At 41.0% G+C, this 26,496-nt stretch overlaps 4 annotated features.

Annotated features, from left to right (window-relative positions):
* Positions 2,904-4,103: an enhancer, noted in NCBI's record as "CDK7 strongly-dependent group 2 enhancer chr1:101918390-101919589 (GRCh37/hg19 assembly coordinates)". NCBI's record gives its function as "activates an origin of replication core promoter dependent on BRD2, BRD4, P300/CBP, MED14 and CDK7 cofactors, with strong dependence on CDK7, by STARR-seq in HCT116 cells {active_cell/tissue: HCT116}" and the evidence as "EXISTENCE:reporter gene assay evidence [ECO:0000049][PMID:35650434]".
* Positions 4,473-4,522: an enhancer, noted in NCBI's record as "active region_1410". NCBI's record gives its function as "activates an Ori minimal core promoter by ATAC-STARR-seq in GM12878 lymphoblastoid cells {active_cell/tissue: GM12878}" and the evidence as "EXISTENCE:reporter gene assay evidence [ECO:0000049][PMID:35858748]".
* Positions 12,418-12,477: an enhancer, noted in NCBI's record as "active region_1409". NCBI's record gives its function as "activates an Ori minimal core promoter by ATAC-STARR-seq in GM12878 lymphoblastoid cells {active_cell/tissue: GM12878}" and the evidence as "EXISTENCE:reporter gene assay evidence [ECO:0000049][PMID:35858748]".
* Positions 20,382-20,551: an enhancer, noted in NCBI's record as "active region_1408". NCBI's record gives its function as "activates an Ori minimal core promoter by ATAC-STARR-seq in GM12878 lymphoblastoid cells {active_cell/tissue: GM12878}" and the evidence as "EXISTENCE:reporter gene assay evidence [ECO:0000049][PMID:35858748]".

Genomic DNA, 26,496 nt, shown 5'->3' with positions numbered 1-26,496 from the left:
CTTCTCTTTATCTCTGGCTTTCTATGATTTTTTTCTTCTATTTAATGAACACTCTTTAGTATTTCCTTTACTGTTGGTCTACTCATGGCAAACTATCTCGGTTTTTCTTTATTTCAAGATGATTATTCGAAGACATTTTCACTAGGTACAGAATTTTAAGTTGGCTACTATCTCAATGCGTTAAAGGCATTATTTTAGGATCTTCAAGCTTCTATCAATGCTGTTGAGAGGTCAGTTCTCAGTTGTTTTAAAGGAAAGTTGTCTTTTTTTCCCTGCTAATACAAGTTAAACTTGTTTCTCTTTTCTCTTGATTTTTGGAAGTTTCACTCTGATATGTCTAGGTATGGGTTTCTTTTTATTTCGCATGCTTAATATAAGCATGTTGGGGTTTTGAATCTTTGTATTTCATCAGTTGCAGAAAATTCTGTCATTGGTTCTTCAGATATTCTATCTGCCACATTTTCTCTCTCTCCTTTCCTGCTTGAAATCCAGCTAAACTTTTCACTGTGTCCTCTATATCAATGACCTATTCCTCAATATTTTTCACAAATTGCCCTCTCTGTACTTCATCATAACAAATTTCTTCTGCCACACCATCCAGTGCACTAATTTTCTCATCAGTTCTATCTAATCTACTATTACACTCATTCACTGTGTTCTTTAATTATTGAAATTAGGTCTAGAATTCATACTGTATATGTGCTATTAGTCTTTAGAATGTACAGTTATCTATCACCATTTTTATACTTGATGCTTACTTCCTGAGTAGTAATCATAGTTGTCTCATAGTCTGTGTCTGATATTTCCAGTACAGGTAGAGTATACCTTATCTTAAATGCTTGGGATAGAAAGTGTTTTCAATTTTTTACTTGTTGTATGTTAAAATATTTGCATATACATAATGAAATATGTTGGGGATTTATTTGTGTTTCTCACATACCTTATACATCTATCCTGAAGGTAATTTTATACAATTTTATTTTATTTTTTTGAGAAAGGGTCACACTCTGTCGCCCAGGCTGGAGTGCAGTGGCATGATTATGGTTCACTGCATCATCAACCTCCTGGACTCAAGCAATCCTCCTGCCTCCCAAGTAGCTAGGACTACAGGTGCGCCCTACCACACCCAGTTAATTTTTGTATATTTTGTAGAGATGGGGTCTCACTATGTTGCCCAGGCTGGCCTCGAACTCCTGGGCTCAAGCAATCTTCCTGCCTCAGCCTCCCAAAGTGCTGGGATTACAGGTGTGAGCCACCTAGACTGAGCAGGACTTATTTTACAGCTTAGCTAGTCACCTCTCCCTTTAGGTTCTAAGGTCACATGGGCTGGATCCACATCTCATAGATCCCTTTGTCCCCCACAGCTGGCACATAATAGGTTTTCAATTCATGTTTGCTAAAGTAATGAATTGGGCATTAGCTAAGTCCTGCAGGGCAATCTCCGGGGGCAAAATGGAAATTGAAAGGACAAGTAAATGAGTGCGTGTGTTATTATGTTACAGTCCTGCTACCTTAGGCCAACCTTAAAAACTTTTGAAAAAGAGAAGAAACTGTATCTGCCACCAGGGGACTCAGCTGTACACCTGTTTTGTTTTGTTCTGCCCTGGCAGGTGTGCAGCTGGGAGCATGAAGCTGTCCGAATTCCTGACACAGAAGGCATCTGAAGGGTTAATGGGTCAAGAACTATAGATGACATAAAATATCCTGCTGGAGATCAGCTGTTGGGAGGTTCTCCTTATAGGAATCGTCTTTAGGAGGAGCAGATGAAGTTTTAGAACAAAGAAGCTTCTTGGAATTATTTTCTCTCCCTCTTTGAGGGATAAAGTGGTCTGTGCTAACTTACTTCTTAACTGAGAAGGGATTCGATTCTTGGATTTTCCTCAACCTCTCAATGAGTGGGAATAGAGATCCTGAAATGTAGTTCATGCCTAATTTAAATATATAAATGATACCAAAATCACATTCCCAGCTAGGAATATTGCAGCCAGGGTAAAAGAGTTGCAGCCATAATCCCACTTTACATGCATTTGAAACTTTCTTGTCCTCAAAACACTTCCTCGGCCAGGTGTGGTGGCTCATGCCTCTAATCCCAGCACTTTGGGAGGCTGAGGGGGGCGGATCACTTGAGGTTAAGAGTCCAAGACCAGCCTGGCCAACATGGTGAAACCCCATCTCTACTAAAAATACAAAATTAACTGGGCATGGTGGGGTAGGCCTGTAATCCCAGCCACTCGGGAGGCTGAGGCAGGAGAATAGCTTGAACCCCAGAGGAGGAAGTTGCAGTGAGCTGAGATCACGCCACTTCACTCCAGCCTGGTCAACAGAGACATTGTCTCAAAAAATAAAAATAATAAAAACACTTCCTCATCCATTATTCAGCTTTAACTCACAACCTCCTCTGACATACTGTTTTACATAAAAGCAAATGGAGACCCAGAGATAGTGAGTTGTTCTCCATCAGACATTCAGCAAATGAGAGCTGAAACTAGAATCTGCATGTTCTTTCTCTTAGTCCAGCGGCACTGTGCAAGGGAGGAAATAAATCAGAAATTATGTGATACCGAGGAAAGGCAATAGAATGCTTCTTGAAAGATGAGGACTTTGAGGTGAGCTTGAGGGAAAGAATATTCACAAATGTCAGAGGAATAAAGCTTGGGTATGCAAGAAATATAACATCACTATCACCAAGACGGAATTTCTATTTTTAGCCCCCATCCCACCAGGTGGCATATACGATTCAATTACAGTTTTCTCCTCCTTTTTCCAAGATTGGTTTAATATAGGGAAGGGGAAGCCTACAGGATGTCAAGGCTGTGGGCTGGGGCAGGAAGTGGGTAGAAAGTTGTTCTCATCTCTCCACACTAGCATCTGCTGAGATGCCTTCTTTCCTGTGACTTCAGGAAGAACACCCCTACATATTCTCTGTTTCTCTTCCCTCCCACCTTCTTCTCTCATTTTGTGTGTCTCCTGAGGACATAGAAAACCTTTGGCTGCTTCCTACATGGTGCAAAAGAACTCAACAAGCCACCATCTCTCCTACTTCTACACTAAGCCTGCAGTACAAGACTGTAAACATGATTAACTTTCCATCTCACCCAGGAAGTAAGGCACAAGCTTTCTCTGCTGTGATCCCCAAACCCATATGGGGATACGTCATTATTCCTTCATCAAGATTCAGCCCCAAGAGGCTGGGAGGAGTGTCGGACCTGTCTCAGAGACACATCGGCAATGTCCTGTGATTCTCTCCTGATTTGTTTTCTCTCTCTCATCCCATAGAATCTTTACCTATCTGAATATCAGAAAACTGCCTCTGATGCACAGCATATTCTTCCAAATCTATCACTTAGGGCCTAAATTCTGCCCACTGCAGGGCTAAGGTCTCTAGCACCCAAGTCCAAATTTTCACAATTCACAAACCAAGAACTTCACTCTTATTCTCAGAGCTGTGCTCTAAAGATCCTCTCTGGAGCTGATGAATGACCTTGAGTAAATGAAAGGAAGTCAAGAGTTCAAGGTAATGTAAAGGGAGATAGAGGCACACATGACAAATCAGTCAATATATTTATTGGACTATATTAAGCTTATAGTTAGATACTGTGTTCTGCAGGATCTCAAGAAATAGTTACGGGAGCTTCCTGGGAGCTGAACACGTGGAGGTTCCTGGGGGGTGGCACGCCCAGGGAGGGCACAAAAGCTCTTTGCCCTGTTAGCACTAGGGAATGTATCTGAGTCACACGGCACCAAAGTATGTTACCAGCAGTGAATCCTTATGGGTCAGCAGCGACCTCAATTCTTGCCTCCTCAGAAGAAAGAATTTGACGGAGGAGCGGAAGGCAGAGTGAGAGACCCAGGCAAGTTTTACAACAGAAGTGAAAGTTTATTAAAAAGCTTTAGCACAGGAATGAAAGGAAGTAAAGTACATTTGGAAGAGGGCCAAGCAGTCTAGTTGAGAGATAAGCGCGCGGTTTGACCTCTGACCTGGGGTTTTATACATTGGCATGCTTCCGAGGTCTGCATCTCTTCTCCCGGGATTCTTCTCTTGAGGTGGGCTGTCCGCATTCATAGCCTGCCAGCACTTGGGAGGGGCCGCGTGCTCTGTGTTTACTGTTTAGAGTTGAGCACATGTTCCCTTACCAGTCAAATGTCCTAGAAGGTCATTTACCAGTTAAACCCCACCATTTTGCCTCTTAGTACACAGGCTTGAGCTCACTCACCCAACTCCTGATATCTTACCGAGAAGCTGCTAATCACCAATTTCAGATGTTTCTATCTATTGGGAGACTGCCTTTTCCTGGCACTGGCTGTGGCCAATTATGATTTTAGAGAGACAGTTTAGCAACTGCCTGACCATCACATGGTGGTCGCCTGACAGTCCTACTGGAGCGGAAGGGGACCTCTCTTGCCCAGCTTATGTCTGAGTAGCTGCCTACTGTAACAGCCTCTTACCCCATACCTCACCTTACGTGTCTCTTCATATGTATCCTTTGCAATATCCTTTATAATAAACCAAGTAACATAAGTAAGTGTCTCCCTGAGTTCTGTGAGCTGCTTCAACAAATTAATTGAATCAAAAAGGGGGGTCATGAGGACCCCAATTTGAAGACAGTCAGTCAGAAATTCCAGAAGCCCAGATTTGTGACTAGTGTGTGTGTTGGGGGCGTGCTGTCTTGGGGAACCCTTAACCTGTGGGATCCGACACTATCTCAGGGTAGATAGCAACAGAACTGAAAGATAGTATCAGAACTGAATTAGAATACTGGTATCAACTGATATTCACTGCTTGGCGTGTGGGGGAAATACCCACACACATTTAGTCACAGAAGTCTTCTTCTGTGTTGATGATTGTTGTGGCATGAGAGTGAAACCACCTTTGCAAAAATTATAACTCAGTGAATTATTACAGTGAAAGAGATCTGACCTAACCGACTCCATCTTGCTTCTAACCTCCAAGCTGTCCTTGTTCATCCCTGGCCGTAGGCCAAACTAACTCCGGGAGGGAATTAGTTTATAGTTTAATTTTGAAACAAAGATAATAACAATCATTTCCCAAAACAAAACCCCTTCCTGCCTGGGAACTAGACTGCCTTTACGGGACTTACAAATTAGCCACACAATTAGAAGTTATGGTTAGGGGTCACACAGCCGGAAGCTGCAAAATTCTCAACCTCCCCAAATTATTCCTGGAGATAACATCACTATTGTAAAACCTAACATCACCAGTGCTTGAGATATTTTGCCGACACTGCACTCAATGGATCAGCTGACACCACCCAGATCAATAAACTGTCTCATCTGGCCTTGTGGCCCCCACCCAGGAACTGACTCAGCACAAGATGACAGCTTCAGCTCCTTATGATTTCATCTCTGACCCAACCAATCAGCACTTCCAACTCGCTGATCTCCTACCCACCAAATTATCCCCAAGTCTCTGGGAGGCTGATTTCAGTAATAATAAAACTCTGGTCTCCCGTACAGCCAGGTCTGCATGAATTAAACTCTTTCTCTATTGCAATTCCCCTGTCTTGATAAATCAGCTCTGTCTAGGCAGCAAGTAAGGGGAACTCATTGGGCAGTTACAAAAGTAGAGAAAAACATGGTTGGAGATAGTTTTTCCCTAAACAATTGGTGTCAGAGAAGTGGGATTTGCTGGAAAGGCCCTTGTTCACGGAAACATGTGGCTTGAGAAAAGAAAGGACAAAAGGGTGGAAGGTGAGGAATTTTTTTTTAATATACTTTAAGTTCCAGGATACATGTGCACAAAGTGCAGGTTTGATATGTAGGTATACATGTGCCATGTTGGTTTGCTGCACCCATCAACTCGCATTTACATTCGATATTTCTCCTATTGCTATGCCTCCCCTACTCCCAACCCCACAACAGGCCCCGGTGTGTGATGTTCCCTGCCCTGTCCAAGTTTTATTGTTCAATTCCCACCTATGAGTCAGAAAATGCGGTGTTTGGTTTCCTGTCCTTGTGATAGTTTGCTGAGAATGATGGTTTCCAGCTTCATCCATGTCCCTACAAAGGACATGAACTCATCCTTTTCATGGCTGCATAGTATTCCATGGTGTATATTTGCCACATTTTCTTAATCCATTCTATCATTGATGGACATATGGGTTGGTTCCAAGTCTTTGCTATTGTGAATAGTGCCGCAATAAACAAACGTGTGCGTGTGTCTTTATAGCAGTATGATTTATAATCCTTTGGGTATATACCCAGTAATGGGATCACTGGGTCAAATGGTATTTCTAGTTCTAGATCCTTGAGGAATCGCCACACTGTCTTCCACAATGGTTGAACTAATTTACACTCCCATCAACAGTGTAAAAGCATTCCTATTTCTCCACATCCGGTGAGGAATTTTTGATTCCTGGGTGGCAACCTGGTCACCTATGGTATGAAGCCACAGCTGTGTTAAGATCAGTTACTAGAAGTAAAATTTACCAGTGGAATTTAGAGATGGATTCAATTCCCCAGGAGTTGGTTCATTGGATGCATAAAGAAATGCAAACTAATAAGAAAAAATCAAAATAATCCCTTGGTTATTATTATCTGTGAGAGCTAAAATGAAATTAAAAGAGACTACTGGGTCAGGTCTTAATGCTACACCAAGGTGAGATTTCAGTCAGCCTGAGCCTCAAAGCTGCCCCTTAAGAGCAGAATTACGCAGGGACAACAGAAAGCACCTCTGAGAACTGTAGTTCCCAAGAAAGTAGTGAATGTGAAGAAAGGGCAAGATCAAGTAACTACTGAAAAAAGAGGTTACAGTGTGAGGGAATTGTTCCATTATGTAGATCAGCATCATTGCCTTCCTGAGGAACCTTTACTAAAGTGGATTATGAGAGCAATTAATTTTGAGGAAGTATCTTTGGTTTTAAGTGCTGCAGACAGGTAGAGCATATTTGGGTTGATGCAGGACCCACAGCTCACTATTGAACAATCGCAGGTGGGTATCTGTGATCCAGACATACAGGAGGTTATTCCTGAGGGAACAGTCAGCCTCATGGACGGGATACAAGCCAGTGTGAAGTCTGTTTACCCTGAAAAGGGGAACTGTCCAACTCCACCTGTAAATGCCAAGTGGAGCACCCAAGATGAAGCAACTGATATCCTTCATATGCAAGCCACATGAGACTGGCTTTATGATGACAGGGAGATTCACCCATTAAATATGCCCATTACCGAGGTCATGGTAAATGCTGTGGTTAAGGGGGCCTCTTCTACATGAGGTGCCATGTGACTTTACACTTTCATACTGGAACAGTTCAAGAAGCCTTATCACATTTGCTGCCTCAGCTTCCCCTCATAGGTCTTACAGATGCTAAGAAAAACGTTAGGTTAATTAACAAAAGAATAGAAAAAGGCAAAAGAGAGAGTCAAAGACCTCATTGCAGGAAGGTGAACATGTTTAAATGATTATTAAAAAATAAGATGAGGCTGGGTGTGGTGGCTCACACCTGTAATCCCAGCATTTTGGGAGGCAGAGGTGGGTGGATCACAAGGTCAGGAGTTTGGGACAAGCCTGACCAACATGGTAAAACCCCATATCTACTAAAAATACAAAAATTAGCTGGGTGTGGTGGCACACGCCTGTAGTCCCAGCTACCTCAGGAGGCTGAGGCAGGAGAATCACTTGAACCCAGGAGGCAGAGGTTGCAGTGAGCTGAGATTGCACCATTGCACTCCAGCCTGGGTGACAGAGCAAGACTCCATCTCAAAAAAAGAGAAAACATTGATGGGGTGAAACTAAGAAGAAAAAGAAAGGGGGAGTCATGGGACTTGTCCCAGCAGGGTGGAAATCTTTAGATGACTATTAAGAAATGAAATGAATAAAATGAAAATTGTTGGTGTTAGAACAAAGGTCTTAATACAACACTATAGAAGGCTGAATAGACCAAAGGGAGGTGTTTCTGGTCCCTCAACATTAAAGGGCCCCAAATGAGTTTGCTGTTTCTCCCAGTTTAGAGAAGTTTTAAAAGCTGGAATGCACAGATTGCAATGAAAAAATTGCAATGAAAAAATCTGACCTCAAAAGGCCCAGGGTTCTTTGGCTCAACTCTTGGCTGGTGATATGGTGATATGGTTTGGCTCTGTGTCACCACTCAAATCTCATCATATTGAGGGAGGGAACTGTAATCCCCATTGTTGAGAGAGAGAGGTGATTGGATCATGGGGGCAGTTTTCCCCATGCTGTTCTCATGATAGTGAGTGAGTTCTCATGAGATCTGATGGTTTTTTAAGTGTTTGACAGGTCCTCCTTCACAAGCTCTCTTTCTCCTGCCGCCTTATGAAGAAGGTGCCTGCTTCTCCTTCGCCTTCCACCATGATTGAAAATTTCCTGTGTGGCCATGTGGAACTGTGAGTCAATTAAACCTCCTTTCTTTATAAATTATCCAGTCTTGGGTATTTCTTTATAGTAGTATGAGAATGAATGAGTGCAGCTGGGGACCCAAAGCCTTTTGCACAAGAAAGGGTAAAATGATCTGGGGATGGGGAAGAGAAGTTTCTGAGGCTAGAATATAAAATCCATGGCTTGATAGAATTGTGAAAGTTGGTATATTTGAGCATCCTCATGTGAAGTGGTTGCATCTCTTTTACCTGATTTTATCATGGGAATGAACATTGTATCTGATTGGGGAATGTTTCCCTTACCTGGTACTATAAAACAGAAGGCATGTAAATTCACCCTTCCAGCAATACTAATTGGATATGCTAAATGAGAACCAGATTACCCAAGCCAACACAGTGCAGAGTAGAAGCTAGAGTGCTGATAGGGACAAATACATAATTTGATAACCCTCAAGTATTTCCTGAGGCTTATGGCAAAAGCCTGTGAACACCTCATAGCAACAACTACTGGGATTTGGACTAGAGGATTTCCTCTTGAGGGGCATTTACTGCCTTCCTATGAAACATTAGCTAAAGCTACCTCTATGCCATCTAAAATACCCATGCTGTCCCAGATGATGTCAGAGGAACATTCTAATGTGAATGACAGTGCCCAGAAGGGTTCCATAATAAAATGGAAATGATTTATAGAAGATCATGCTACATGGAGAATGCAAACAGGAGCTACTCTTGAGCAGGAAGTTTCTTTTTTCCTAGGACTGACTCTGGAACTGTGTAAGAAACTGCTAGTGCCTGATAAACTCAGTACTGGATAAACAGCTCTCTACTGATCAACCAAGAGCTGCTTGGTTCATGGATAGCAATTCCAAGGTAAATGAATACCAGCCTGTTTGGAATGCTGTTATTTTGATCAAATAAGGTAAAAATAGACGTGCTCGATGGGCTGAATTGCATGCCGTTTTTCTAACAGTGATGGAAGCATTGAAAAATGGCAGGACCCTCTATATTTGGGTTTTTACTGTCTCACGGGCAGTGACCAATAGCCTGGTCATACACTCACACAAGAGTGCAAAACTTGGTCTATTAAGGGGATGCCCATAATGGAGCATGGCCCAATGGGAATTTGAGGAGTGTATTAGAGTAAGTCTGTACCCATCAGAAGAAATCCTTTCCCGGTTTAGATAGTGACTAGAATCAACAAGCAGAATTCTCCATGTGCTCCCTGAAGGTGGCCACCTGGGCCCACAAAATGAGTGGATATGGGGATATTGCAGCAGGGCAGAGATGGGCTGAATCCAGACGTGCTCCTTTTGCATCCTCTCAGGCACAACATGCCGGGAAGTTTTAGCAGCAGCAAATTGATTCTTGCCTCCTCAGAGGAAAGAATTCAGCTGAGGGGTATAAAGCAGAGTGAGAAGCGGAGGCAAGTTTTAGAGCAGGAGCGAGAGTTTATCAAAAAGTTTTAGAGCAGAAGCAGAAAGAAATCATGAGCAGAGTAAACAGATATCCCACAGAGTGAGAGAAAATCCTTGCAAACCATGCATCTGACAAAGGACTAATATCCAGAATCTACAAAGAAACTCAAACAAATCAGCAAGAAAAAAAAATTCCATTAAAAAGTAGGCTAAGGAAATAATAGATAATTCTCAAAATAAGATATACAAATGGCCAACAAAAATATGAAAAAATGCTCGACATCACTAATGATCAGGGAAATGCAAATCAAAACCACAATGTGATACTGCCTTACTCCTGCAAGAATGGCCATAATCAAAAAATCAAAAAATAACACATGTTGGCATGGATGTGGTGAAAAGGGGATATGTTTACATTGTTGGTGGGAATGTAAACTACTATAACCACCATGGAAAACTCTATGGAGATTCCTTAAAGAACTAAAAGTATTTGATCCAGCAATTCCACCACTGAGTATCTACCCAAAGGGAAAAAGAGGTCATTATATGAAAAAGACACATGCACAAGCATGTTTGAAGCAGCACAATTCTCAATCACAAAAACATGGAACCAACCAAAATGCCCATCAATCAACAAATAGATAAAGAAAATATGGTATATCACATTCTTGTAATGTCAGCTACTCAGGAGGCTGAGGCATGGGAATAGCTTGAACCTTGGAGGTGGAGGCTGCAGCGAACCAAGATCACGCCACTGCACTCCAGCCTGGGTGACAGAGTGAGACCCTGTCAAAAAAAGAAAAGAAAAGAAAGAATAAAACATGGTATATATATGCCATGGAATACTACTCAGCCATAAAAATGAACAAAATAATGGCATTTGCAGCAACTTGGATGGAGCTGGAGACCATTATTCCAAGTGAAGTAACTCAGGAATGGAAAACCAAACATTGTATGTTCTCACTTATAAGTGGGAGGTAAGCTATGAGGATGCAAAGGCATAAGAATGACACAGTGGACTTTGGGGACTTGGCAGGGGGCAGGGGAAGGATGGGAGTGGGGTGAGAAATAAAAAACTACACACTGAGTGCTGGGTACACTGCTCAGGTAATGGGTGCACCAAAATCTCAGAAATCACACCTAAAGAACTTATCCATGTAACCAACACCACCTGTTCACCAAAAACTATTGAACATAATTTTTTTTACAAAATTTGACAGCAAGATTGAAAGAAAGTAAAGTGTCCAGGTGTGGTGGCTCACACCTGTAATCCCAGCACCTTGGAAGGCTGAGGCAGACTCCTGAGGTCAGGAGTTCAAAACCAGCCTGGCCAACATGGCAAAACCCCGTCTCTACTAAAAATACAAAAATTAGCTGGGCACAGTGGCGGGCACCTGCAATCCCAGCTACTATGAAGGCTGAGGCAGGAGAATCGTTTGGACCTGGGAGGTGGAGGTTGCAGTGAGCCTAGATCATGCCATTGCACTCCAGCCTGGGTGACAGTATGAGACTCTGTAAAAAAAGAAAAGAAAGTACACTTGGAAAAGGGCCAAGTGGGCAATATGAGAGATCAAAGTGCCCTGTTTGGCTCTTGATGTGGGGTTTTATACATTGGCATGGTTCTGGGGTTTCCACCTCTCCTCCCTTGATTTTTCCCTTGGGGTGGTTGTCCACATGCACAGAGGCCTGCCAGCACTTGGGAGAGACTACATGTGCAATGTGTTTACTTAAGTTGTGCACATGCTCATTTCAGGCTCTTTTCCCTTACTGGTTGACTGTTCCTAGAGGAAGGTCATATACCAGTTAAACTCCATTATTTTACCTCTTAGTGAGGACACTTGGACCTGCTTGCCCAACTCCTGAGAGCTTATCAAGAAGCTGCTTATCACCAGCTTCTGGTGTTTTCTATTGGGAGATTGCCTTTCCCTGGCACTGGCTGTGACCAATTCTTATTTTAGAGAGACAGTTTAACAACTGCCTGACCATCACCTGATGGTTGCTTGGCATTTCTTGTGTGGGTGGGAGGTAGGGGGGAGGGCTCTCCTGCCCTGCTCACATCTGACTATCTACTGTGACAGAAGAACTGTTCTGTTTCTCATCAAGGGAGACAGGGACTGCTGACGGCTATGGGGAAAATGCTCTGGTGGGAAGACCCAGAACATAGCTGACAAGTAAAACTGATGCTGGTAGCCCTGGGGAGCTACAAATGTGTCTTGACAAGAATAGACACGATTGCAGAGTGGGTTTTGCTTATCCAGTGGAAATGAAAATGCTCAGAGTGCCATAAAAACAAAACAAAAAAACAGAAGATGTTGCCTGGATGTGGATGGTCAACCACTATTTCTTCAGACCAAGGAACACACTGTACAGCCCATAATGTCCAACAATAGGCAGAGAGATATCTTCCTTCGAATAATAGTTTGATAGAGAAGTAGAATGGGCAACTGAAACATTGGTATTCTAAAACAGGGGGAAGATAAAAGCATGAAGGGCAAGCTTACATGCCTTCAGGAATGTGTGCTCACACTCAACATGAGTGGGACTAGACTGTCTCTGCTAGATTTTTTCTCATTTTTTCTGGTTGACTGGAGAAGAAGGGGTGGAGAAGATGCTGGTATGACTATGCAATTCTTGCTGAGAGAGAATCGCACTAGTATAATTACTATAATTTTTTCTTTCTTCCCCAGATCACCTCAAAAAAAAAATTTAGGCTGGGCATGGGTGGTTCACGCCTGTAATCTCAGCACTTTGGAGAGCTGAGGCAGGAGGAGCACTTGAGCACCAGAGTTTAAGACCAGCCTGGGTAATATAGTGAGACCTCATCTCTATAAAATAATAATATTAATAATAATAACTTTTTAAAAATTATTCATTTTTGCTCCTCTACCTGATACACTAGTCCGAAGACTACGGCTATAATTACACATGCTGAAACAGCAGAGATTATTTCTAAACAAAAAAACTGTAACTGTGATTTTAAATCTTATGTCAAAATCCTTAAGGCCATGATGGGAGTGGGTTGTGCCTTCACCCCATGTAGCAAAACTGGGGCTAACAGTGAATGCATCGGTATTGCCTGGTGGTAAAAATAGCTCACTAGTTCTGCTGTTATGTAACCTTACCCTATCAGAATGGGAATAGACTGAGGAGGAACTACTTGCTAGACTTGTATTGCTACCTGCAATCTAGACCAGCACAGTGGCATTTCTAATGTCTTTCCCAAAGGTGAAAAGGTTTGGGTATTAATGGAGAGAAGGGGAAACAGTAGCTGAGAGTAGGAAAATGAATATATAGGTTATTAATCGAAAAAATTCAATGTTACGTTTTGTGAAAGGAAAATAATTCAGGACCTCAAAGTCACTAAGCCAAAGGGAAAAGTCAATCCAGACACTGTATCAGGCAAACCTGCCTTCCATTTTATTCCTAAATAAGACAGCTACAAAGATTAAAAAAAAAAAAAAAAAACATAGCTCCCTCACAATTTGCCCACTAGAAAACTCCTTGTGGGCCTCAAGATCTTTACCCTAAAACAGTTCTGTTGAATTTCACCCTAACGATGTAACTTGATAGCTTATCCTTACAGGTACAGGACAAAGAACACAATTCAAAGTCATCCCTCTGCTCACCTGAGCCAAGTGCATATCTGATTGCTTCCTCTGCCCTATGCTTATTGTATCTTATGTAAAAATTCAGATTCACTGAGCTAGATGAATGCATAAGCAACTATTCTTCTACTCTTCTTTCACATGTGAACAGCTACTCAAAGACTCAAAAGAATGCAACCATTTGCCTCTTATCTACTCACATCTCTTTTTTTTTTAATTTTTTCACTTTAAGTTCCAGGATACCTGTGCAGAATGTGCAGGTTTGTTACATAGGTATACATGTGCCATGGTGGTCTGCTGTACCTATCAACCCATTATCTAGGTTTTAAGCCCCGCATGCATTGGGTATTTGTTCTAATGCTCTCCATCCCCCTGCCCCCTACCCTCTGTGTTGTTGCCCTCCCTGTGTCCATGTGTTCTCATTGTTCAACTCCCACTTGTGTCTACTCACATCTTTCAAAAATTTCTTTCTCTTTCCCCAATAGCCACACTTTCCCCTTTAAATATTGAAGCCCTCAAAATCATCTTTGGAGAAAGGCACAGACTTGTCTACTGGGCATGTGTCCTTAAGCTTGGCAAAATAAACTTCTAAATTGATCGAGACCTGTCTCAGGTACTTTTTGGCTTACAGTTAACAACTCAAAGGAGTCTCAGAGTAAGAGATGATATTGTCTCTTAGGTCAGTCATCCCAGATGCCTGAAAGGGTGAGGTTGAATATTTACTGAGGCCACTCCTGCTTTTGGGACCTGACAAGACTGACAGGAAACCTGCAAACCTGGTTGATCTCATCCTGGGAGATACTCACACAATCTGATTAACTGGACTAATTATTAATGATTGTGTATATATATATTTTTGATGTAAAGGATCCATGGTTGAAAACCAGGGTCTGGCCTGTGGTGTTATGATATATATTGGTTTTCATCCATGGTTCCTTGTTCATAACTCCCAGAGCCCTTGTCACAGTCTTCTGTCACAATGTTGGGGGTGTTAGGCCTCAGGCGCAGGCCTCAGGAAATAGAATCTTTCTTCTGCTCTCCTTTCACCTGCTCCAAGGCAGGACTCTAATGTTCCCCCATCTTTCTGATTGTGGGTCTTAAGACCCTCCCAGGAGAGAATCCCACCCTGTACCCTAGGGGGAGGAATGCTGACATCATGGAGCTTCCATAAAAACCCAAGAGGGCAGAGTCAGCGAGCTACCAAGCTGAACTCTGAACGTGTGGAGGTCCCTGAAGGGCGGCACATCCAGGGAGGACGTGAAAACTCCCTGCCCCTTCCCCCATACCTCACGCTACATGTCACTCCTTCTTCTGTATCCTTCGCAATATCCTTTATAATAAACCAGTACATGTAAAAAAGAAAAAAAAAGAAAGAGGCCGGGCGTGGTGGCTCATGCCTGTAATCCCAGCATTTTGGGAGACCAAGGCGGGTAGATCACGCGGTCAGGAGCTCGAGACCAGCCTGGCTAACATAGTGAAACCCCGTCTCTACTAAAAATACAAAAATTAGCCAGGCGTGACGGTGGGTGCCTGTAATCCCACCTACCCAGGAGGCTGAGGCAGGAGAATCACTTGAACCTGGGAGGCGGAGGTTGCAGTGAGCTGGGATTGTGCCATTGCACTCCAGCCCAGGGGACAGTGCGAGACTCCGACTCAAAAAAAAAAAGAAAGAAAGAAGAAAAGAAGAAAGGAAGAGAGAGAGAAAGAGAAAGAAAGAAAGAAAGGAAGAAAGAAAGAAAGAGAAAGGAAGGAAGGAAGGAAGGAAGGAAAGAAAGAAAAAGAAAAAGAAAGAAAAAGAAAGAAAAGAAAGAAAGAAAGAAAGAAAGAAAGAAAGAAAGAAAGAAAGAAAGAAAGAAAAGAAAGAAAGAAAGAAAGAAAAAGAAAAAGAAAGGGCTATGTTTGTATAAACATGTTTTTAAAATTATCACATTATTTGCTAATATAAACTTAGTATACATAATATATTTATGAAAATAAACTACAAGGAAATCAACTTTTGTGTTGTTAGGATGAATCTCTAGCTATTGAATCCCTGAAACCTTAAGAAGCAAATTTTTGGAGGCCAGTCAAGTCCTCTATGTGAATCCCCAGGACTGGCTTAAGGAGCTTTCACCCTGAGAAGTCATTTAACTGAGAGCATGGAGAGGGTAGTGGAAACGACTCAGGCATTGTCACCAAACCAACCTGGGCTTTCATCCCGCACACCCTGTACTATCTGTGAGAAGCCAAGAAATTGACACAATTTTTCAGAGCTTGTTTCCTCAGACGTTACCAATAAAATGGGAGAAAAAAAAAACTCCTTGGGATTATTAGAAAATCAATGACATATAATGTGCAGTAGAACACAGCAAAGCACTGGACCAGAGTGAATAATAAATAATAAATAGAGTTGTCTGTCCTTGCCTTTCTTTTAACCAGCCTTCCAACCTCACAGATATGACTATACCAGCTCATATTGGATCACATGCTCCACATAAAATACTCTGTGTCTGTATATGCAGGACTATGAAAAAGGTATGCTTTGTGCATATGTTTGATGCCCTTAATTGCAGCTTCTTCCAGACTGCTTCTTATTTTCTCCCACCTTCTAATCTGGCAGTACTTTAGAGGGTTCAAATTGGCTCTGACCCTAAAATAACTTACTTTTGCTTCTGATAGTCCATAACAAGAAACATTTTTATGGAATATAATGGAGAGCTGGCAGCAGGCTGAGAATCTAACACAAGACTTTAAATGCTGCAGTTATCCATCAGTCACACTATAGAGCAGGTCACGCATAATAAACAGCTGCTTTATTAGGTTGATGGAGTATGCAGCAAATACAAAATGACGGAAAGCAGCTACAGACCAGAAGCTGAGAAGTCGCAGGAAAATGTGCTGGTGTGGGCCAATTCATGGATGCCATTGACAATCATGCCAGAGATCAGTTCTGACCAGCACACATTTCTATACTGGGAAGCCCCGGGACATTCCAAGCGCAAGAGCCAACCATCCCTGCAGGGAGGACAACCAGTATCCAGACCAAACTCTTCTGTCAGTTGGCTGCAAAATCTACTTTTCTCAATACTGAGATGCTACTAAATAAACATGTAACATGAATAAAGATAAACTATTAAAAGCTTATTTTCATGTTAAATTAGCAAGGATATTTGGGGATTTGTTTCATGGCTTTAATCCAGGCATATTCCTCCCTCATCTTTTTTTGAAATAGACTCAAGTTCTGTTTCTGACTTTATCCTGGGAGCATTTGTTTGTGACATGCAGAAAATGGGAACTGAATAGCCAGCAAGCCAAAAAGGGCAGACGATGCAAAGTCTATAAGGCAAAATGGAATGTGGGGAACAATTAGACGGCTCAAACTCTTCTCCTTCTGAGCACCACTGCATTTCCTTTTATTCATATTGTTTTACTAACCATCCCCCACCCCATAGGAGGAAAGGGATCAAAAGCTCATCAGCTATGCTAGCTTGAGAGTTGTAATCCCGACAAGCCAGCTAAAAAGTACACAAGTTTTTAAGTATATGCAAATGTGCACTGGTTCCTCTACTAATCTTATTTTGCCTTCTTTTTTAAGAATACTTTTTGGTTTTTTTTCAGACAGGGTCTTGCTCTGTCACCCAGGCTGGAATGCAGCAGTGGGATCTCTGCTCACTGCAACCTCCACCTCTAGGGTTCAAGCAATTCTCCTGCCTCAGCCTCCTGAGTAGCCGAGATTACAGGCGGATGCCACCACACCCAGCTAATGTTTTTGTATTTTTAGTAGAGATGGGGTTTCACTATGTTGGCCAGACTGGTCTTAAACTCCTGACCTCAAGTGATCCACCCACCTCGACCTCCCAAATTGCTGGGATTACAGGTGTGAGCCACCACGTCCAGCCTAGAATATAATTTTTTAATGTGATTCCATTTTATACTATGCCATTGTGACTTTGTGATCCATAAGGATGTCACAGAAAAACATACTATTGAAATCATGAGATTATAAGAGTATATGCTTAAGACTACGTCCAGCCAAATTACAGTTGATCATTTCATGGGGGAAAAAAAAAGAAAGCTTTTGCTCGTTGATCTATGCTTTTTCCATCTTAAAATTCCTTATGTTAGTATTTCAAGTCAATTTTTGTTTCCCTGCATAATCCAAGCAATTGCCACAATTTTCCATTTTACTTTGCAAATATTCATACATCAGGCATAACATTTTGCAATGATCTATCACAACCAGTTAAGTCTGTCTCTATAAACAGTAACTTTATTTTCTGAACCAAAAACAGGCCACCTGGGCTGCTGGGAGGGCAGAGTGCTTTACACCCAGCCTGTATCCCTGATTCACTCCCTTCTCCATCAAATAAGTATTCAAAACTGCCACTAGTGTTATCTTTCTAAACTGGAAATCAAATCAAGTCACTCCCATGCTTCAAACCTCTTGATGTCTTCTCTTTTTCTGTAAGATAAAATCTAAACTTCTTGGTTGAACAAGCAAACCCCCAAATAGCCAGGCTCAAGCCATCTCTTTCTGAAAAGAGAATCCACTTCATAAGCCCTTCCATCCAGCCATTCTCAACTTCTTGCCCTGGCTTAACGCAGCCTTTTCCAGATTTCATATCTTTGTACCGGCTATTCTTTCTGTGGAAATATTCTTACTCACTCCCAGTCCCCCTCACCCCCACCCATACACACACTCACTTCTACTTATTCTTCAAGACAGATTCCAATGTCTCCTCAGGGTATCTTTCCAAGACTTTCCCAGGCAGTTAGTTGTTTCTTAACAAGTTATTTGTGCCTATATCAAAGCACTCACAACATTTTATATCAATTTATCTATTTATACATTTATGTCTCCTTCTAAGCTATAGCTCTCTACAGTTTTAAGTAGACTATTTTGATGGATAACTCCAAATTGTAACTGTCTGCTGGAAGCTGGAGACTATTTTTGCCTCAGGCTCATGAGGTGAGTTCTATCAGGATCAAGGCTACCACGTGGGGGAGATGTTGTAAAGAGAGTACCAGCACTGGGGCAGGGAAGGGACGAAACAGTGATCTTTAATAATTCTTTGATAACTTTAATTTTTTAATGACTCTTCCACACCTAAGATGATGAGCGTAGGACAATAGAAATAGCCTCACAACAATCTTTTTGGTTCATCAGTAACCAGCAGCCATAAGCCAGGGCTGCCATAAGGCTTCACTACAGAGAAAGGCAGCATACTTCTAGCTAATTTATTAAGTTGAGACTCCACATTAGACACAGTCTGGGGTTAATAGCTGTGATTTTTCTATCTCTAAAAAGCTAATTACAAAGACCTATCATTCCCATTTTTGTTGGTAACTAAAGCAGTTCAAGAGGTATGCCTATTGGGGAAGTAGGAGAAGTTAGAGAGGCTTAATTGGGATAGTTGCTAATTCCAAAGAAGAGGAAACATAATAACAAAAATGCTTTTTTTTTCATTACAAAGAAGTTCTCTTTGAACTACAAATATAAGCTCTAGACAAAATGCATTGGCCCAAATATTTAGATTCCTGCTGACAGTCAGAGTCAGTGGTGGACTGATGTCATGCCAACGGACATGCAGTGTGAGCCTTTAACTTAAGAGTGCTAGGGCTAATTAGACAGGAAAATTACACCATGCCACATCCAGTTCTGGAATGTGTATTTCCACTACAGAATAGATAACAACAATGTGTAGCAGTACATCTCACATCTTCAGACTTGATCTAAGACAAAGAACAAAATACTTCAGGAATAATTCCTGAAGAACAGAATGGGATTCAGCCTTTTTTGCCTCTTCACAAACCCTTAAAAACAAAAAAGGCAAGCAAATCTTTTTTATATCTTAATTTTCTTCCACTTTATTCACAAGTTATTTTTTCCCCTTCCTCCTATGGGGTGGGGGATGGTTAGTAAAACAATATGAATAAAAGTAAGCCTCCTCTGTTGAGTTTCTGGTATAGGTGCAGAACAGTGCCAGCCTCTGTTCCTGGTAGCTAGACACTGTGCCTAGTGTGGAAACTCCACACATGCACTCTCCAGTGTCTGGGAAAGATGCCTCCAGCTGACATAGACCAGTCCCTGCCTTGCCCAGAGTCTGAAGCCAGTTTTATCCTGAGTACCTCTCCTCACACCGTGGGAATTCTGATTTTATTTGGTTCTAAACCCCAGTTCGCTGCTAGCTGGAAAGACAAGAACTAGAATCCTGTGCCTCCTCTCCATCTTTAGGAACCTCTACACACTGCAGAGTTGCTAACACAGTTTTCCTAGAAGCAATCATCTAAACCAAACCTATGTCACCAAAAAAGCAGAGCAAAGGCTGGGTGCAGTGGCTCTCACCTGTAATCCCAGCAGTTTGGAAGCCAAAGGTGGGAGGATTTCTTGAGCCCAGGAGTTCAACACCAACCTGGACAACATAGCAAGACCCTGTCTCTAGAAAAAAATACAAAAATTAGCCAGGTGTGGTGGTGCATGCTTGGGCACCAGCTTCTTGGTGAGGCTGAGGTGGGAGGATTGCTTGAACCCAGGAGTTCGAGGCTGCAGTGAGCTATGATCATGCTACCGCACTGAACCTGGGCAGCAGAGCAAGCCCCTGTCTCAGAAAAAAAACAAATTCTTACAACCCCAATAATAAAAAGATAAATAACCCATTTTCTAAAAAAAAAAAAAAAGCAAAGCAAAGAGATAATCAGAAAATAAGTATCTAGAAGAAGGGAAGTATCCAAGAGCAGTGTTCATAGCATCTGATGAGAATTTCTTGTCATCTCCAGTCAAAATTTTAAAAATAACAGCTCCATCACAAAATTATTGTCTTTCCTTATCAGTACATTTGGAAAAACTAACAGACCTTGGTCCCAAGATGTTCATTCAACTGTGGAATTCAGTTCATCAGAATCTCTACAATTTATGTTTTCTAACTATCTCTTTCTAGAATCATCAAAAGTAATTTAGTGCTGATATATGAACCAAATGAAAGTTGTTCTGAGACAACTATTACTCAGGTCAAATTACTTTAATGTCAACTATGTTAATAATAATAGCTTTTCAAGAAATCCTTTATGGAACAAATGACCTTCAGTTTTTGCTCATTGTTCCACTGAAACAACTGAAACACAAGTGAAATATACAGAGAAAGCTCTACAGATCATAGCACCATCTGCATCTCATGCCCATCCTGTTTCACTTCCTTCTCAAAATTATGGTTCTGCTTGACTTTTCCTAGTGATAAAAGTTAAAATAAAACCTGAAAATAAAATATGTAAACCCACGATTATTTATAGTTGCCCAATTTCTTATGACACAGATTTGATCCAGTTCTGCATGACTAAGAAAATTAAGCATGAAACATCTCTTTCAACAGACTTCTCAAGCACTGAGATGCTTTGCGGCAATTCGACACGTGTGTTGGTAGGAAACAAGAAATACAAAGATAGATGGCATCATCTGAAAAGAAAAAAGTGAGGGCCTAGGTCTATGGAGGCAGTTTAATCACTTGCAAGCAGTTTATCATTCAACATAATAACACAGGCCCTAAAAAGCCTGCTCTGACACTCTCATTTGTCCTGTGATAGACTGCTCACTGCATGGGAATTTAATATCCCCAATGCAATCAAACTTTGTGGTGCACAGAATTTGTCCATCATCTATAAGCTAGAAGTCACAATACAACTCACTTCACTCACCAGGGCAGGATGCTGCAAGGGGCCACAGTCTGTCACTGACAGGTTGGTTCTCAACCCAGCTCCCACATAAGACTCATTTGTGAATGCCCAGACCCCACCTCAGAATGTATGAAGCCAGAGCATGGACATTTTTTTTCTCAAAGCAGGTGATTCTATCATAGAGCTTTGTTGAGAATCATAAGGATTCAACATTTGACCTTTCAGCATGATTGCTGGTGGTGTTTTGAAATTTGGTTCAAGGGCAGAGAATACACTACCTTCCAGAAAACTAAAGCAGCCTCATTTGTGAGGCTACATAATAGTTTTCCTTGTAGGTGGGCAGCCCTCAGGGAGTTCTCTGATGGGGTATAAATCTCGTTTTCCATAGAAACAAGCAGATCTCCTGGCTGTTCTGTTCCTGATTAGCCTGGCACAAAAATCTCATGTCCCAGGCAAAGTAGATGTTATTATCATTAGTTTATAAAGAAATGGAAAATCTGAAAGGTAAAATGGCTTGCCTAGTTTCATATTGCTGGCTGAAAATTGGCTGGCTCAAAGCAAAGATTACAATTTTCTATCTCTAAGTTTTTTCCTGATCTTAAAATGTATTGTCTACTGTGTTATCTTCCCATATGAATTAAATTTCAGGTTTAGGAAAATAGGATGTACTCTTTAAAAATAAAATAAAAAAATTTATTTTAGAGTTTATTTTGGAGCAACGATTTTCAAAGTGTAATCCCTGAACCAGCAATATGAGGATCACTTGGGAATTTATTAGAAATGCAAATTCTCATTCGGACCTAGAGAATCAGAAGGTCTGGGGATGGGGCCAGCTCACCAGGTGATTTACATGCCTCCTAAGGTTGGAAAACAACTGTTTCTAACAAAAGCTAAACTGTTAAACTGTAAGCATTTTCCCCAAAACGTTGTTGAAGTAGAACTTATAAAAACACTTTTTTTAAAGTAACTCCAAAGGTAAAGCCAGAGAAAAGTAGTTTTGGCTACTTGATTGCCAGATGTTGGGTCCTCTTGGCTACAAGATAATCATGAGACAATCCTGGGAAATCAGCCCTAAGTCATGTTTTTCTCTTCCTTGAGGAGAGAAGGCATTCAAGTAAAAGTTAAGACAGGCAGAAACAGTTTAAAGCAAATATGTTAAACAAAGAAAGATAATTCTCTGACAAGGAAGGTAACAGGGCTTAATTAGTCCCTTAAACTAGCAGGACATAGAGGAAAAGGCCCTGTGGAGAGAGGTAGACAGGTTTAACAAATCTATTTTCCTTTCCACTCAGGTACATGGCCAGACAAATTCTCCAGCCTCCCTGGCAATAAAGTGTAGCCACATGACTGTGTTCTAATTGATGGAATATGAGTAGAAGAGATGGATGCTACTTCTAGCCCAGCACCCGAAAAATATTTCATAATGCTCCCTTTCCACTCTCTGGCTGGCTGGAAGCAGAGAATTCAGCATAGGCCTCCACAGCTCCAAAAGACAGTGCAGCCACCAGATAGAGTTCATAAATCACCCCAGGGAGAGCCACCCACCAAACACTTGCACAGAAATGCTGCATGAATGAGACTTAAGTTCCACTGGGCTAAGCTGGTGACATTTGGGCATTATTATAGACAGTGTATACCATGTGGAATTTAAGTCTTTGGTAGAGTAATTAAAATAAATGCATATTTAGCCAAAGCAGCAACATTTTATTTCATTCTGAAACCTATAACTCAAAATGGCTACAGAGCAGAAGCGATGAAATCCCTAAGGATCAAAGTCAAAAAGTGCTCCATAAAGGTCAGCCTTGCACACCTGTGCCTTGTTTTTTCTGTAAGTCTTCCGCAATGATGTAGGATTCCACTCATATTCTTGACCAGCTTGTCTTTTCAGAAATTTACCATCATATCCACATACTGTAGAGGAAAGGTGATCTAGTCAGGGTTTTAAGTCTAACCCTAATAATTGACCACAAATAACATGATGGATATGTTTGTGGAAATCATCACTTTTCTCCCAACTCCCACATTTTATGATGACTTCTCCCATTTTCCCTTGATGGCCTATGTCTTCCTCTAAGATTTCATATCTTGTGTTGAACATTTATTCATTAATTCCAAAATTATTTGTTAAAATCCAACTATTAGTCCAACTTTGTTAGTTACTCTGGGTACAATAGTGAACATAAGTTACATGTTGGGAAAACAGATATATGATTGTTTTCCATCTCTCCACAGCTTTTGATATGGGTGAAACTTCCCTTGGTTTTCATCACACAACCATCTCCTGGTTTACTTCTAGTCTCTGCAGTTTCTTCTTTCTCTAATTTACACAATCATTCTTCGTTATTCAATAATTACATTGCATTAAATGATGAAACTTTCTCAAATTTCTGTCTTAACCTGTCTCTCTTTTCAATTTCTATATTCAGGCAATTATATCCATACCAATGGTTTCAATTTTCATCTATTTACACAAGAGTCACACTTGTTAATATTTCTCTGGCACAGACCTTTCCTGGGACTTCTAGATTCATATAACCACTTATACCAATTTTCTACTAAATGTCCCTGCTTTGCTATCTCAAAGGCACTTAGGCACAGCATAACGAAAAACTGAACTCATTGCATCCAGCCCCACACTACAGCTCCATACCTGGTTTTCTTCTGGTGTGACCATTATCAGTGAACAATATGAGCTTCCATTCTGGTAAGCAAGCCAGAAATCTAGGAGTCATCCCTGACTCCTCCCTCTTTCTCACTCCTCATATTGACTCTAAAACCATACCTTGTCAATTTGACTTCCAAAATATCTTCCAAATCTTTTCACTGCATTATATCTCCTCTGTTGTATCCTAATCCAAGCTGACCACATCTCTTGAATGAATTGTGGCAATAATTTTTCCATTTAAACCATGACTTGTCCATTCTCTACAATGCAGAGTGATCTTTTACAAAGTGCAAATCTGCTCATTTTATTACTGATTAAAACTCATCTAGGGGCTTCCAGTCAATCTCAAGCTAAAGATCCAAATGCTTGACATTGTCTATAGGTTCCCGCCTTTGTCTGGATCCCACCTGCCTACCCAGCCTCATCTGAAGACCATCCTTTCACTTTCCCTCTGCTACACCACCACACTGGCTTTTTTACTTGAATAAGCATGTTCCCTTCAGCAATGTGGCCTTGAGTCAACTTCCTTGGACTCAAACAATCTCCCTACCCATATCATTCCTCTTTTACCTCTTCTTTCAGAGTTTATCTCACCGTGTTGCCCCTTATCAGGAATCCTAGTGTGACCTTCATTTTGTGGTCAATTATCTCTTTCTTAAGTCTCTCATCTCCACATTTATCATAGTTGTAAATTTTCATTCATTTGTAAGACTCTTTGATTAACGTCTATTTCCGTCACTAAACTACGAGCATCCTATGAGAGCAGGAACCACGTCTGCTTTTATTCCACCTTTGTATCCTGAGTCTCTCACTCATTTAACAAATATTGTGAGGATACACTAATAACAAAACAGAGAAGTTTCCATCTGTTGTGGTACTTACAGTGTAGTGATAGACAATGACAAATGAAAAGGACATGAGATGGAAGCCAACAGCTGGCACAATGCCAGGCTCATTATTAATATTCAGTAAGTATTTACTGACTATTGTTACAGCCAGTTGGCAGATAAGCAGAGCTCACTGAGGAGCCACTAACCAAGGCTTCTTCTCTTCAGGCTATGAGAGATGGAGAGGGTGGGGAGAAACAGGTGACGTGAACGGTTTCTGTTGTAGTTGCTATTGACTGACAGATCTTCAGTGCTGCTTTCAAAGGAAGTAATGTGTGATGCATTGATTTTTGGAATTTCTATTGTAAGACAGGGATGACTGGTCTTATTGACAAGAGTGATTCAGTAACTTGCAGACAACAAGACCCTGGTCAGGCTGAAGGAAAACCTGCACCTGCTGTAACTATTACTGTTTTGCTCAAATTATAGCTGACTCTGAGACATTGCTTTGAACTAGGCACAGTAAAATTAAAACTGTTTTCTTGATTTAAGGTTGTCCTTTCAAAGTTAAGCTAAGTGTGTAAACAAATTCATAGTATCTTGAGGATACTTTGAACATAAAATATAATGTTCAAGTCTAGAATCATCTTATATCTTCTTCTTCCCAGCCCTTGGGTACTCTGCAAATTGAAGTTGTCCTCGGTTATTTTTCTCCTCCTCTAACTCTGGAGTAACAATAAAATTTTATGCATCAAATGATAGATAAGAAATGCTCTTCCCCAGGCAGAAAATGGGATCAAAGCAAAGTGTTACTCAAACCTTCAGCCTTTTTAAAAAGCAAATGCTTCTTCATAGGATGAACTAAAATATTTAAGGTTTGGAGAAAATAAGGTCTGGAAAATCCTTTAAAGTTGTTGTTCAATCGCATAAATAAATTATTCTACTGAATAAAAGTTTTAAAACCATTAGTTCTCAGGTTTTTACAAATGATTCTGTGTGTGTGTGTGTGTGTGTGTGTGTGTGTGTGTGTGTGTGTGTGTGGAAATTTTCTAAAGACTTTTTAAATAAAAGGGCCTGTGCATCTTTCATTTTGGAAGGTGACTCTTGATGACAGGACTTGAAGATGCTTCAGTTACTCCTGATCACTCTCATTAGTGAGTTAATAATCACCCTTAAGTTAACCGAATTGACTTACTCAATGACAGTTCCTTTGAGAAAGTTATTCTCCCTGAACCTCAACAACCTAGCCTTAAGGTGGTGATAATAATACTTCCCTTACATTTGGATAATGCTCAACAGCATCTGATATATCACTTACAGATAAAGAGTAACCAGAAAAGATAATTAATGTTACGATGCTGTCTTTACAAGAATAAGACTTTATAACTGAAGGAAGGCAGTAGGGAACGTGTTTAGATCAAATACACATCCCACAGTGTCCTGACATCTCCAGTCAGTTTATTCCTTGGGAGTGGGACTTAAGAAGTTTTTCCCCACACACTGGGACATGTTGGAGGTGTGGGGAGAGGGAGAGCATCAGGATAAATAGCTAATGCATGTGGAGCTTAATACCTAGGTGATGGGTTAATAGATGCAGCAAACCACCATGGCACACGTTTACCTATGTAACAAAACTGCATGTCCTGCACGTGCATCCTGGAACTTAAAATTAAATTAAATTTTAAAAGAAGTTGTTCCCCTTTCTAGCTGATCATCAGAATCACCTGGAGAGCATTTTTAAAAGTAAACATTTAAAGGGAATCTGATAGCCAGATTTGGAAGCACTGAGCTTGAGAATATACCGTAACGACTAATATTCTGGAGGATTTTTCACATATTACTTCTTATAAAGTTCATAACAACTCATGACTTTTTAGGGGCCAAAGCACCTGTAAATATAATCATTTAAAATGAGAAATGGTGTTTTATTGTGGGGAGGGGTTGTGTGTCCTGAGTGTTTTTATTATACAGTAAAACCAAATAAA

The sequence above is a fragment of the Homo sapiens genome, chromosome 1 (assembly GCF_000001405.40).
Source record: "Homo sapiens chromosome 1, GRCh38.p14 Primary Assembly".
NCBI classification, from domain to species: Eukaryota; Metazoa; Chordata; class Mammalia; order Primates; family Hominidae; genus Homo; species Homo sapiens.
The sequence above is the reverse complement of the archived record's forward strand: the minus strand, read 5'-3'. Positions and strand labels throughout refer to the sequence as shown.